We start from the raw sequence: 15,261 nt of genomic DNA, 5'->3' as shown, positions 1-15,261 counted from the left end.
TCAACTGCAAAGAGGACTCCCTCTTTCACTACTCCTCCTCAGCACAGACCCTTTACAGGTGTCAGGCTGGGGGATGGTAAAGTCTTTCCTTTCTCATAAGGCCATATCTCAGGCTGTCTCAGTGGGGGGAAAACCTTGGACAATACTCAGGCTTTCTTGGGCACAGGTCCCTGCTGCTTTCCGCAGTGCATTGTGTCCCTGGTTAATCGAGTATGGAGAATGGTGATGACTTTTACCAAGCATACTGCCTGCAAACATATTGCTAACAAGGCACATCCTGCACAGCCCTAAATCCATTAAACTTTGATTCAATACAGCACATGTTTCTGTGAGCACAAGGTTGGGGCTAAAGTGACAGATTAACAGCATCTCAAAGCAGAACAATTTTTCTTACTACAGATCAAAATGGAGTTTCTTATGTCTTCCTTTTCTACATGAACACAGTAAAAATCTGATCTCTCTTTTCCCCACATGGGACAATAACAATCTAACAATGGAGTCATTGAAGTCCCACAAGAAAAAAAGTGGAGTGAAGAAAATAATATTTCAAGAGATAATGATTAAAAATTTCCCAAATTGAGCCAAAGGTTTGAAAATTACAGGTAAAAGCCCAGCAAATGCCAAACCAGATGAACTCAAATAGTTCCACATCTAGACACATCATAAAAAACTACTGAAAAATAAACACATAGGAAATGGTCCTAAATGCAGCCAGAGAAAAATAATGCATTACTATTTTGTTTGTATGACCTTGGATTTCACACCAAAAACCAGGAAGGCCAGAGGGAAGAGGAACAGTTTTTGTTAAATGTGTTGAAGGAAAAAAACTGCCAATTCAGAACCTATATGCAGTAAAAATATTCTTCAGGAATAAAACTGAATGTAGACACTCTCAGATGAAGGAAAATCACCAGAATGTATTGCCAGGATCCTGCTGTAAAGAAAGTACTAATGTCAGAGGTTAGGGATTTGGCAGGAGGGAAGTGAGTAGGATTATAAGAGGGCAACATAGGAAATCCTCGTGCTGTGGCACTGTTTTGTATCTTGACTCTGTGCCCGCATGAACCTATAAAGACAATAAAATTGTATGTAACTTACACACTCACATATACACACTGTCACACAGATGCGTGCAAGTGAACTGGGGAAATCTGAAGGAGACGAGTGGCTTGCATCATTGTCAAGCACACCACATACCTACCACACCACACACACACACACGCACTCACACACACTCATATATTATATACTGTCTCCCCACTTCCCTGTCCCAGCAATCAAGAGACAGACTTTGAACCCTGCCCTCAGCAGCCATGAATGCACCCCACCAAATCCTTCCGTCACATCCACCCACGTTATTTTGCATTTGATTGGTCCTTCAGTGAGACCAATGGTCAGAAAGTCAGCAAAATGTTACATTGGAGGAAAATGGGCAAAGTATACAAAATACTTCTCTGTAGTGCTTCTTCCAACTACATTTTAATCTACAATGATTAATAAAATGTTAATTTTAAAATGTAATTTTTTTTTAAAAAAGTAAAAGAACAGTAACTGTCCAAGAGGCTGTCCAAAAGGAGCCTGGGGAGGCATGGTAACTGAATGCAATGCTGTATCCTGGATTCGACCCTGTGACAACAACACAGACAGACAGAAGTTAAAACAAAGGAAATCTGAATAAGTTACAGATATTAATAATTATGTATCATATGGACTCATTAAGTGTAACAAATCTACCATACTCATGTATGACATTAATGATAAGAAAAACTGTGTTTGTGGGTGGGGGGGGTTGTATATGGGAATTGTCTAACATCTTAGCAATTTTTCTGTAAATCTGAAATTGCTCTAAAATAAAAAGTTTATTTAAAAAAATAAATGGATATATATGGGCCGGGCATGGTGGCTCATGCCTGTAATCTCAGCACTTTGGGAGGCCAAGGTGGGCGAATCACCTGAGGTCAGGAGTTTGAGACCAGCCTGGCCAACATGATGAAACCCCCTCTCTACTAAAAATACAAAAAAATATTAGCCGGGAGTGATGGCGCGCACTTGTAATCCCAGCTACTCGGGAGGCTGAGGCAGGAGAATCACTTGAACCCAGGAGGCGGAGATTGCAGTGAGCTGATATCACACCACTGCACCAGCCTGGGCAACAAGATTGAAATTCTGTCTCAAAATATAAAATAAAAAATATATAGACTGGGTGTGGTGGCTCACGCCTCTAATCCTAGCACTTTGGGAGGCCAAGGTGGGCAGATCACGAGGTCAGGAGATCGAGACCATCCTGGCTAACATGGTGAAACCCCGTCTCTACTAAAAACACAAAAAAATTAGCCAGGCGTGGTGGTGGGTGCCTGTAGTCCCAGCTACTTGGGAGGCTGAGGCAGGAGAATGGCGTGAACCCGCGAGGCGGAGCTTGAAGTGAGCAGAGATGGCACCACTGCACTCCAGCCTGGGTGACAGAGCAAGACTCTGTCTCAAAAATAAATAAATAAAAAATAAAAATAAAAAAATTTATATTTTTTCTAAAAACAATCTTGCGTGGCTATACTAATATCAGACTAAGTAGACTTTAGAGAAAAGAAATTATCCAGGACAAAATGGGATAGTATATAATAATAAAAGTGTCAATTCACCAAAAAAAACTATTGTAGCCATCCTAAATGGGACACACCTGACAACAGAGCTTCAAAACACATGGAGCAAAAACTGGAAGAACAGAAAGGATAAATAGTCAAATCCACAATGGTGAGAAATGCCCACATTCCTCTCTCAGTAAATTGATAGAACTAGTACACAAATATTATTAGCAGTTCTACTCAGGATTACCGAAAACTGAATCCTTTACATGACATTCTCAAAAAGACAAAGTTATCGTGACAGATAAAAGATCGGTGGTTGCCAAGGCTTAGGGGACGGGGGAGGATATGATTAGAAAGGGGTTGTACAAGGGACTCTGGCGGTGGTCCTGTCCTGTATCCTGATTGTGGTTGTGGGTACATGATACTGTGCAATGTGCTAAAATTCATGGAACCCTACATCCAATAAAGGTCAATGGTATTATTTAATAATTCAAACATTTTTTAAAATGTTAATACAATTGGACAGAAGCTGCCTTCATACAGAGTAATTCTAAATTGTTTGACCTGCCTGGCATCTAGTAGGCACAGAGCAGAGGCTCAACAAACACTAGTGCACTCACTACTCACTCTGCCCATTCCATCAAGGTCGATGAAATATTAAGGTTCTTTCCAGCTTCTTTTGCTTTCCCTGGGGGACCTCTCTCACTCCTGGGCTTTCAATGCCATCCACATTAACATTACATATAATAATAAAATACTACGATTCTGCAAGAAGAGGCATTCTTAGATTGGGTTGGCTTATTCTATTTCAAAGGGTGGGGAAGGAGACAAGGTGAGGAAGCAACCACTGGGTTAAGAATGAGTTCCCTCCCCTCTCCCCCTCCATTCCTCTTCCTTCCTCTCGCCCTTCTTCCCCTTCTTCCTTCCTCCCTTCCTCCTGCCCTTTCTTGTTTCCTTCCTTCCTTCCTATGTTTATTTTCGTAAAGACAGCTGACTTTCTGGCCATTGCTCTCACTGAAGAAGGACCAATCAAATGGAAAATAACGTGGGTGGATGTGAGTGAAGGATTTGGTGGGGTGGAGCCGTGGCTGCTGAGGGCAGGGTTCAAAGTCTTTCTCTTGGTTGCTGGGACAGGGAAGTGGGGAGACAGTATATAACATGTGTGTGTGGTGGGGGGGTAGGTATGTGGTGTGCTTGTGTGTGTGATGTGTATGTGTGGTGTGTGTAGCATATACATATGTGTGTGGCATGTATCTGTATGTAGGGTTTGTCTGTGTGCAGTATGTCTGTGTGTGTGGTGCATGTTTGTGTGGGGTGGGTGTGTGGTGTGTGATATGTGTCTGTGTGTGTTGTGCATGTGGTACACATATATGGTGTGTGTGTGGTGTATATGTTTGTGTTGTGTTTGTATGTGCTGTGTGTTGTGGTATTTCTGTGTGTATGGTGTGAATGTGTGGCATGTATGGTGTGGTGTATGTGGTATGTGTGTTTGTGGTGTATGCGCTGTTTGTGTGTGGTGTGGGTGTTGTGTGTATAGTGTATTGTGTGTGGTGTGTGGTGTGTTCGTGTACATGTGTGGTGTGTGGTATACATGTGTGTTGTGTGTGTATTGTATGTGGTGTGTGTGTAGTATGTGTGTGGTGTGTGTGTGTGGTCCGTGCATGTGCATTGTATGGTGTGCGTGTTGTGTGTGGTATGTTGTATGTAGTGTGTATGCGTGCATGGTGTGTTTGTGTGTGGTGTGTGTGGTATATGTGTGTGTGGTTTGTGCATGTGTATTGTGTGGTGAGTGTGTGTGGTATGTTTGTGTGTACAGGATGCTCCTGTGGAGGAAGAGTTGGACCCATGAACTCTGGGGATAATCCTCTAGCTCATGGTTGGCTTTTGTTGTGCTTTGCGGTGTATTTCCCTTCCACTGATGCCAAAGACCCATTAATGTTTTTGATCAGGCTTTCGGTCAGGTGTTAGCATACAGTGGAGGACTCAGGAAGGGGCCTGTGTCTACTACTGATGTCGTGCAGGAGACTTCCTTATGTCCGACACCCTCCTCTACAGCCAGTGTAGGAAGCCATGAAGTGGAGGAAACATTTGCAAGGCGATGATGCTCCAGGTGTCTCACGACTCCCATCAAGACTGAGGAGAGGGCCAGAGTGCACACCATGGTTTGGGCAGCTGGAGGAAATGCATGACTTCCTCCCATGCCCACCTCAGATACAGGAAGAAGTAAGCAACTGGCCAGATTGGAGACAGGCTGTAAGGTGCAGCCAGCCGACTATGAGCTGCCCACACAGGAAAACGGCAGCTCCGAGGTGGTTAAACGTACCTGGGTTCCAGTGCCTGTCTTTGCTACTTACTAGCTGCGGGATCTTGGCCAAGTTAACTTCTTCTCTGTGCTTCAATATATTCATTTGTAAACAGAGACGGTAATGAGGGTCCACTACCTTTTTAGGTAGTTATGAAAAATAAGTGGGTTAACGTGCAGCAAATGGGTCAGAAGAGTCCTGAAACTCTATTACTTGTATTATTGTTTTGCAATCATAACTCTGATTTTAAATCTTTTTTTTTTTTTTTTTGAGCCAGAGTCTTGCTCTGTGGCCCAGGCTGGAGTGCAATGGCGCCATCTCGGCTCACTGCAACCTCCGCCATCCAGGTTCAGGCGCTTCTCCTGCCACAGCCTCCCAAGTAGCTGGGGTTACAGGCATGTACTGCCACGCCTGGCTACTTTTTTGTATTTTTAGTAGGGATGGGGTTTCACTGTGTTGCCCAGGCTGGTGTCCAACTCCTGAGCTCAGGCAATCAGCCGCCTCACCCATCCAAAGTGCTGGTGTGTCCGGAGTTTGTTCCTTCTGGTGGGTTCACGGTCTCGCTGACTTCAAGAATGAAGGTTACAGCTCTTAAAGATGGCACAGAACCAAAGAGTTAGCCGCAGCAAGATTTACTGTGAACAGCAAAAGAACAAACCTTTCACGGCAGGGAAGAGGACTTGAGCGGGTTGTCACTGCTGGCTGGGGTGGCCAGCTTTTATTCCCTTATTTGTCCCTGCCCATGTCCTGCTGATTGGTCCATTTTACAGAGCGCTGATTGGTCCATTCTACAGAGCACTGATTGGTCCATTTTACAAACCTCTAGCTAGCTACAGAGTGCTGATTGGTGCGTTTTACAATCCTAGCTACAGAGTGCTGACTGGTGCATTTTACAATCCTCTTGTAAGACAGAAAAGTTTTCCAAGTCCCCACTCGACCCAGAAGTCCAGGTGGCTTCACCTCTCAGTGGGATTACGTTAACTCTTTATTTATAACTCAGTTTCTTAGTCTCCCCTTACTAACTTGTGAGCTCCTTAGAGGAGGAAACAATGTGTTCTTTTTCTTTGTATGTCGACTTTTAATTATTGCCGGCATTTGGAAGGTGATCAGTAGAAATGGACTAAGTGTCAATTGTATTATTGTAATATGGATTGTACGGGCATCTATGTATATGTGTAATGTGTGATGTGTACATATTACATATATGGAATATGCATTGACTGTTATATTTCAATAAGGGATGATTGTCAACAGATTAATCTCACACTGCCTGAGTTTGTCTTTTTAAATGATGGGCTCTGAGTTAGCCAGTGCGGTGGAAACATACCCCCACCTCCAACATCCTGCTGTCACAGGGGTGTTCACTTTCTGAGACAGGATGGGCTGGTCTGGCCTGCCAGTTTCCCATGAATGATGAAAGCTGTGGATCCTTCATTGACATTTTCTATGTTCCAATCCGAGATCGATATCTCTTGTGCACTGCATTCATCCCTCCTTTATCAGAACAGCAAAGACTAAACCAGGAAGAAGCAAAGACAATGAGCCAGGCAATTCTCTCTCTCTATGAGATGATGCTAGAACCTTGGGTGCAGAGTGCACATTTATTAATAATATCTAAATGTCTGTAGGTGTGCAGCTATTTTTTCTTACAAAAATGGGAATGAGATTTAGAGCTTGCCACTGCAATGCAGCTGTCCTCATTGTTCCCTTAGCTCTTTGTAGACTCCCATGTTTTAAAGTCAGCCTCATTGACTTTTCCTTGCCTACCACCTGCTAACAAATTCTCTAGAAGAACTAAGAATCCGTTGTTGCACTGCCTTGGAAATCAATCCAATTAGATCATTCAGCAACTCTCAGAGAATAAAATACTGAATGCTTTTTTAAAATTTATTTTGAATAAACGAAGGTTTTATATCTTTATGGTATACAATATTATGTCTTGATATATGTATACCTTGTGGAATGGCTAAATCAAGCTCATTAACATATGTAGCTTATATATTTATCTTTTCCTTTTGTGGTGAGAACACTTAAAATTACTCTCAACCATTTTCAAAAAATATAATTTTTATTAACTATAGTCACCATAATGTACAGTAGATCTCTTAAACCTTACTAAAAATTTGTTATCTTTTGACTGTCTCCGCAATCCCCCCAGCCCTCGGAATTTTTGCAATTCACATTTTTCATTACTACTTTTTCTTTTCCTATGCAATAAAGTGATTACAGATTTTTAGAGAATCATGCACGTGTGCATTTGGCTCTAGTTCTTACAGAACTAAAAAAATCAGAATCTCTGAGGATAGAACCGAAGATGGATGGATAGATAGATAGATGATAGATGGATAGATAGATAGATAGATAGATAGGCAGTATGCTCATTAAGTGAGTGACTTGCCTTAAAGTCTGGGAAGGAAGAGAGGGAATTCATGTGTTGAAAAGACTCTTGGAGTCCCTGAGGTGGAATTTAAAATTAATTTCCTACACAGATACTTTTCCTCATGGAAACAAGTTCTTTTCATAAGTCTTTCAGGTCCACTTTAAAATCTTGTTTTTCTATTCATAAAACTAATAACTGTTTAAAATAATAGTGATTTATTTTTCTGACTAATTAATTTATATAGCTATTTAAGAAATTAAGTTCCCCTAAACAAGTAACCTTGACTATGAAAGTTTTTAAATAAATTTTCTTAAAATATTAAAACCATATGGACAAGTAATTTGACCCTGTAATGGTAGACCCAGATAGTTCATTACTGATATCTTGGTATGGCATCCATGGTTTTTCTGTCATTTGGGGGTTTTAGAGATGTCATTGCATAATATAAGACTCAGTTCTGACCATTTCTAAGGCACCACGCTGCCCTCCTATTTCATTTCAGATTCTTCCCCCAACCCCTCACTGGTGTGGTTGGGGTAGGGTTGCTCTGAAGTGGCCAGTCCTTCTCCCTCTAGGCGCCTGCTCCTCCAGGCCAGGAGCAGGGAGGAGGGCTCTGGAAGGAGGCAGTGAGTGCCTCACATGGCTGCTCGCCTGCTAGGGGATGGAGGTGGTCCTAGTCCTTCTCTGTTTCCTACTGGGTCTGTGTGATGTCACAAGCGTCTACTGATGTGCAGTGTGACAGCACAGTGCTGATGCCCTCCCCACTAGGATGCCTTCCAGAGAGGCAGTCACGGCTCTCTTTGGCCTGACCAGAGCATACACACCCCAACTCCTTCTTCTAGTTGGATACCCCATTTGTGTGTTCAGTTCTGAGTTTCTCTTCTGCACTGTCCTGTGCTTTTGTAGAACTGGGAAGGGAGGAGTGATACCCCCATCTTCCCTGGCACATATTTATCATCCTTCAGATCCTCCTAATACAGCCTCCTCCAGAACACTGTGACCTTCAGCAATCTTGAGACAGTGCATTGTCAGTAGCCTTAGTGTTGAATGCCACCAAGCCCCAAGCGATGCAGGTCAAGCTCCCCATGAACTCCATCGCCGGGCTACTTCATGTCTTGGCACCAGAGACTTACAGATCCCAGTAGTCAGCAAGAACTCAGCTGAGGATGGAGGTGCCAGTCTCTGCTTCTTGCAGAACACTCTGATGTTGACAAGTGATTTTCTCAATGTTCCAACAGGGCCACAGGGAGAAAACACTTCCCTTTCTCCCCTTCCATGACATGGAGAGGAACAAGAATGGCCTCCAACTGTGAACACAGCATGCCCCTCACTGTAGCCCACTTCCCAGTCTCCCTTTTATTTCGTCTAGAAGCCAGGCATGAAGCTCTGATCTATAATCTGTGAATAAACTCTTGGGAAAGCGGCTGCTTCCGTGCACTGGCTGTTCTCGTGAAATACAGAGTGGTTTTTGCCTTTAGCCTCAGCCTTATCTATCATTTCAAGACAACATGAGAAATCCCAGTAGACGTTATGCTAAAGAATTGAGTCAAATTCTTATAGCTTTCAAACCGATATCGCAAATCTAATATCAATTACCTAGTTTACATTTAAGTCACAATTCTAATTTGACAGATTATCCAGTAGCTTTGATACATTCAAATAATGTAAGTAACAATTACACAGACAGTATCCCAATGGAGATCATGCATGCCCCTAAAGTTAACACAGTGGAAACAATGCCTTTAATTGGAATAACTTCATCAGTTCCATATTCTTATGCCTTCTGAGAGTTATAAACTAAAAAGAGACTTGCCATCTTATGTGGGCTGAGGTTCCTACTCCACGGGGTGATGATAAGTTTATTTACAGGCAGATTTTGTGCTGCGATGAACTTGGAAGCTTCTCACTCTCGGTATAATTCTTCCTAAGCTGCAGATGGACATGCCCCTTCTTATAGCTCACCCTTCTGTTCTGTCAAAGGGAAACGCTCAGCTCATGCCTTTACTCAGGGTTTAATTTCACAACCCAATGCATTCTGTACACCAGGTAACATTTTCAACTTCGTGCTTATCCAATTCTTATTGTAATCTCTCCTGAATTTGGTTAGATAAAAACATGCACCTCTATCTAAGGCGCAGTTATCCTCCATGACTCGATGCAATTCAACTGACCTCTTTACTGCAGTAATTACAGGTTGCATTCTTCTTTCTAATTTCTTGTCTAGTATAATTTGTTGTCATCTTGTCTATTGCTTGCACACCACAGTTTGACAGAAATCACATTAGATATTTTGTGTACCTATTAAACCATTGATTAAAACTGATATTTAGGTAGTGGCAATCTGAAAATATCAGTAGCCTTTGGTTCACCTTCTTATCCAAATTAATTCTATTTAGTCAGAGTGTGATGCTAATAGAGACAGGCCCATGGCCAGATCTTGCTGCTACACACAGCTTCCTCTTGAAGAATGTAGTATAATAATTCAGTCACAAATCTAGCCTGTAAATATGTTTTCTTTCACCCACCTAGTGTTTTAAACATGTCTAAATTGGACCCCAGGTGACCACAGTTCCCTTCATGGCATTTTTGACTCTTTTAAGTGTCTGGCAGCCTGCTACTTACAGGAATTTCACTTTGTGACTCTCAGATTATGACGGAAAGTAGACATTACTGGTTTTCACACTTCAGTGTATGTAAGAATGACTTTGAAGAGCTCTTCATATATAAATTTTCTGTATTCTAAGGCAGTAGATTTGGAGTGGGGCTTGGAAACACATTTTTAAACTAAAATATCAGGGGATTCTGATGTCAGTTGTCAACAGAGCAAACTGCAGAAAAATTCTGCAGCACAGGCTTTGGACTTGAACAGATCTGATTAGAATTTTTATCTTCTGAGTTATTTGCTTACTGTCCTAGTGTCCTTGAGTATATTATTTCAACATGACACAGAAGCCACTAATTTCTTTGGAACTACGTAGGGCAACATGACCTCTCCATCTTCATTCTAGGAGGATGACGCTTGCTATTTTACAAACAAAGTAGGAACAATTTTAGGAAATTTTCTACCTCCTCCCCATCATACCCACTGTTTTCTGCTGCCTTAGCATTAAACTCCTGAAAGACTTAATTATAAATGCAGTCTTGCTTTCCTCTCCTTCTATTCTCTCCTAAACCCACCATGATCATGTTTATTTGACCATGGCATCAGTAAAAATCTAAAGAATGGTTTTTAGTACTCTTTTACTGTTTTTAAGCAGTATTTGACACAGTTAATCATTTCATTCTATTTTTAAGTATAATTTGGAAATATATATGTAAGTATATATGTCAATATAATACACACATACATATACTTTCCTAGAGACATATATTTTGTACATAAACATGTTTTAAAGTATGAAAGAATGTATAAAACACAACAATTACCTTGGTTTTCTTTTAGGAGTGGTTGGCATTGATAATTTGGGAAAAAGGCACTTTGGCTTATCTGTAACTTTACTTTGATAAAGAGAATAGGTTCATACATTATTTCTGCAATTAAAAATGCTTTCGATGCTGAGAAAACCAAAGCTTTCCCACTAAGATCAGAAACAAGGCAAGGATATCCCCTGTCACCACTGCTTCTCAATATCATACCAAAAGTCCTAGCTAATGCAATAAAACAAGAAAGGGGATAAAAGGTATACTGATTGAAAAGAAAGAAAGAAAACCCTCTTTGTTTGCAGATGATGTAATCTTTATGCAGAAAATCTGGAAGAATCAACAACAACAAAAAGCCTGGCAATAAGAAGCAATTTTTTTTTTATTTTATTTTATTTTATTTTTTTATTATACTCTAAGTTTTAGGGTACATGTGCACATTGTGCAGGTTAGTTACATATGTATACATGTGCCATGCTGGTGCGCTGCACCCACTAATGTGTCATCTAGCATTAGGTATATCTCCCAATGCTATCTCTCCCCCCTCCCCCGACCCCACCACAGTCCCCAGAGTGTGATATTCCCCTTCCTGTGTCCATGTGATCTCATTGTTCAATTCCCACCTATGAGTGAGAATATGCGGTGTTTGGTTTTTTGTTCTTGCGATAGTTTACTGAGAATGATGGTTTCCAATTTCATCCATGTCCCTACAAAGGATATGAACTCATCATTTTTTATGGCTGCATAGTATTCCATGGTGTATATGTGCCACATTTTCTTAATCCAGTCTATCATTGTTGGACATTTGGGTTGGTTCCAAGTCTTTGCTATTGTGAATAGTGCCGCAATAAACATACGTGTGCATGTGTCTTTATAGCAGCATGATTTATACTCATTTGGGTATATACCCAGTAATGGGATGGCTGGGTCAAATGGTATTTCTAGTTCTAGATCCCTGAGGAGTCGCCACACTGACTTCCACAATGGTTGACCTAGTTTACAGTCCCACCAACAGTGTAAAAGTGTTCCTATTTCTCCACATCCTCTCCAGCACCTGTTGTTTCCTGACTTTTTAATGATTGCCATTCTAACTGGTGTGAGATGATATCTCATAGTGGTTTTGATTTGCATTTCTCTGATGGCCAGTGATGATGAGCATTTCTTCATGTGTTTTTTGGCTGCATAAATGTCTTCTTTTGAGAAGTGTCTGTTCATGTCCTTCGCCCACTTTTTGATGGGGTTGTTTGTTTTTTTCTTGTAAATTTGTTTGAGTTCATTGTAGATTCTGGATATTAGCCCTTTGTCAGATGAGTAGGTTGCGAAAATTTTCTCCCATGTTGTAGGTTGCCTGTTCACTCTGATGGTAGTTTCTTTTGCTGTGCAGAAGCTCTTTAGTTTAATTAGATCCCATTTGTCAATTTTGTCTTTTGTTGCCATTGCTTTTGGTGTTTTGGACATGAAGTCCTTGCCCACGCCTATGTCCTGAATGGTAATGCCTAGGTTTTCTTCTAGGGTTTTTATGGTTTTAGGTTTAACGTTTAAATCTTTAATCCATCTTGAATTGATTTTTGTATAAGGTGTAAGGAAGGGATCCAGTTTCAGCTTTCTACATATGGCTAGCCAGTTTTCCCAGCACCATTTATTAAATAGGGAATCCTTTCCCCATTGCTTGTTTTTCTCAGGTTTGTCAAAGATCAGATAGTTGTAGATATGCGGCATTATTTCTGAGGGCTCTGTTCTGTTCCATTGATCTATATCTCTGTTTTGGTACCAGTACCATGCTGTTTTGGTTACTGTAGCCTTGTAGTATAGTTTGAAGTCAGGTAGTGTGATGCCTCCAGCTTTGTTCTTTTGGCTTAGGATTGACTTGGCAATGCGGGCTCTTTTTTGGTTCCATATGAACTTTAAAGTAGTTTTTTCCAATTCTGTGAAGAAAGTCATTGGTAGCTTGATGGGGATGGCATTGAATCTGTAAATTACCTTGGGCAGTATGGCCATTTTCACGATATTGATTCTTCCTACCCATGAGCATGGAATGTTCTTCCATTTGTTTGTGTCCTCTTTTATTTCCTTGAGCAGTGGTTTGTAGTTCTCCTTGAAGAGGTCCTTCACATCCCTTGTAAGTTGGATTCCTAGGTATTTTATTCTCTTTGAAGCAATTGTGAATGGGAGTTCACCCATGATTTGGCTCTCTGTTTGTCTGTTGTTGGTGTATAAGAATGCTTGTGATTTTTGTACATTGATTTTGTATCCTGAGACTTTGCTGAAGTTGCTTATCAGCTTAAGGAGATTTTGGGCTGAGACGATGGGGTTTTCTAGATAAACAATCATGTCGTCTGCAAACAGGGACAATTTGACTTCCTCTTTTCCTAATTGAATACCCTTTATTTCCTTCTCCTGCCTGATTGCCCTGGCCAACACTTCCAACACTATGTTGAATAGGAGCGGTGAGAGAGGGCATCCCTGTCTTGTGCCAGTTTTCAAAGGGAATGCTTCCAGTTTTTGCCCATTCAGTATGATATTGGCTGTGGGTTTGTCATAGATAGCTCTTACTATTTTGAAATACGTCCCATCAATACCTAATTTATTGAGAGTTTTTAGCATGAAGGGTTGTTGAATTTTGTCAAAGGCTTTTTCTGCATCTATTGAGATAATCATGTGGTTTTTGTCTTTGGCTCTGTTTATATGCTGGATTACATTTATTGATTTGCGTATATTGAACCAGCCTTGCATCCCAGGGATGAAGCCCACTTGATCATGGTGGATAAGCTTTTTGATGTGCTGCTGGATTCGGTTTGCCAGTATTTTATTGAGGATTTTTGCATCAATGTTCATCAAGGATATTGGTCTAAAATTCTCTTTTTTGGTTGTGTCTCTGCCCGGCTTTGGTATCAGAATGATGCTGGCCTCATAAAATGAGTTAGGGAGGATTCCCTCTTTTTCTATTGATTGGAATAGTTTCAGAAGGAATGGTACCAGTTCCTCCTTGTACCTCTGGTAGAATTCGGCTGTGAATCCATCTGGTCCTGGACTCTTTTTGGTTGGTAAACTATTGATTATTGCCACAATTTCAGAGCCTGTTATTGGTCTATTCAGAGATTCAACTTCTTCCTGGTTTAGTCTTGGGAGAGTGTATGTGTCGAGGAATGTATCCATTTCTTCTAGATTTTCTAGTTTATTTGCGTAGAGGTGTTTGTAGTATTCTCTGATGGTAGTTTGTATTTCTGTGGGATCGGTGGTGATATCCCCTTTATCATTTTTTATTGTGTCTATTTGATTCTTCTCTCTTTTTTTCTTTATTAGTCTTGCTAGCGGTCTATCAATTTTGTTGATCTTTTCAAAAAACCAGCTCCTGGATTCATTGATTTTTTGAAGGGTTTTTTGTGTCTCTATTTCCTTCAGTTCTGCTCTGATTTTAGTTATTTCTTGCCTTCTGCTAGCTTTTGAATGTGTTTGCTCTTGCTTTTCTAGTTCTTTTAATTGTGATGTTAGGGTGTCAATTTTGGATCTTTCCTGCTTTCTCTTGTAGGCATTTAGTGCAATAAATTTCCCTCTACACACTGCTTTGAATGCGTCCCAGAGATTCTGGTATGTGGTGTCTTTGTTCTCATTGGTTTCAAAGAACATCTTTATTTCTGCCTTCATTTCGTTATGTACCCAGTAGTCATTCAGGAGCAGGTTGTTCAGTTTCCATGTAGTTGAGCGGCTTTGAGTGAGATTCTTAATCCTGAGTTCTAGTTTGATTGCACTGTGGTCTGAGAGATAGTTTGTTATAATTTCTGTTCTTTTACATTTGCTGAGGAGAGCTTTACTTCCAACTATGTGGTCAATTTTGGAATAGGTGTGGTGTGGTGCTGAAAAAAATGTATATTCTGTTGATTTGGGGTGGAGAGTTCTGTAGATGTCTATTAGGTCGGCTTGGTGCAGAGCTGAGTTCAATTCCTGGGTATCCTTGTTGACTTTCTGTCTCGTTGATCTGTCTAATGTTGACAGTGGGGTGTTAAAGTCTCCCATTATTAATGTGTGGGAGTCTAAGTCTCTTTGTAGGTCACTGAGGACTTGCTTTATGAATCTGGGTGCTCCTGTATTGGGTGCATAAATATTTAGGATAGTTAGCTCCTCTTGTTGAATTGATCCCTTTACCATTATGTAATGGCCTTCTTTGTCTCTTTTGATCTTTGTTGGTTTAAAGTCTGTTTTATCAGAGACTAGGATTGAAACCCCTGCCTTTTTTTGTTTTCCATTGGCTTGGTAGATCTTCCTCCATCCTTTTATTTTGAGCCTATGTGTGTCTCTGCACGTGAAATGGGTTTCCTGAATACAGCACACTGGTGGGTCTTGACTCTTTATCCAACTTGCCAGTCTGTGTCTTTTAATTGCAGAATTTAGTCCATTTATATTTAAAGTTAATATTGTTATGTGTGAATTTGATCCTGTCATTATGATGTTAGCTGGTGATTTTGCTCATTAGTTGATGCAGTTTCTTCCTAGTCTCGATGGTCTTTACATTTTGGCATGATTTTGCAGCGGCTGGTACCGGTTGTTCCTTTCCATGTTTAGCGCTTCCTTCAGGAGC

The 15,261-nt window shown here is 40.8% G+C and overlaps 1 long non-coding RNA gene across 1 annotated transcript; it reads right to left on the bottom strand.

Annotated features, from left to right (window-relative positions):
- Positions 1-5,486: 5,486 nt before the first annotated feature.
- LOC105376142 (uncharacterized) lies at positions 5,487-7,905 on the bottom strand. Its single transcript, XR_930109.1, has 3 exons — positions 7,728-7,905; positions 6,213-6,399; positions 5,487-5,520 (listed from the first exon to the last, which is right to left on the bottom strand). It is a non-coding gene; the product is annotated as an uncharacterized LOC105376142 (long non-coding RNA).
- Positions 7,906-15,261: the final 7,356 nt, after the last annotated feature.

Source organism: Homo sapiens, chromosome 9 (genome assembly GCF_000001405.40).
Source record: "Homo sapiens chromosome 9, GRCh38.p14 Primary Assembly".
In the NCBI taxonomy this organism is placed as follows: domain Eukaryota; kingdom Metazoa; phylum Chordata; class Mammalia; order Primates; family Hominidae; genus Homo; species Homo sapiens.
Note: the sequence above shows the minus strand (reverse complement) of the source record. Positions and strands in the feature narration are given on the sequence as shown.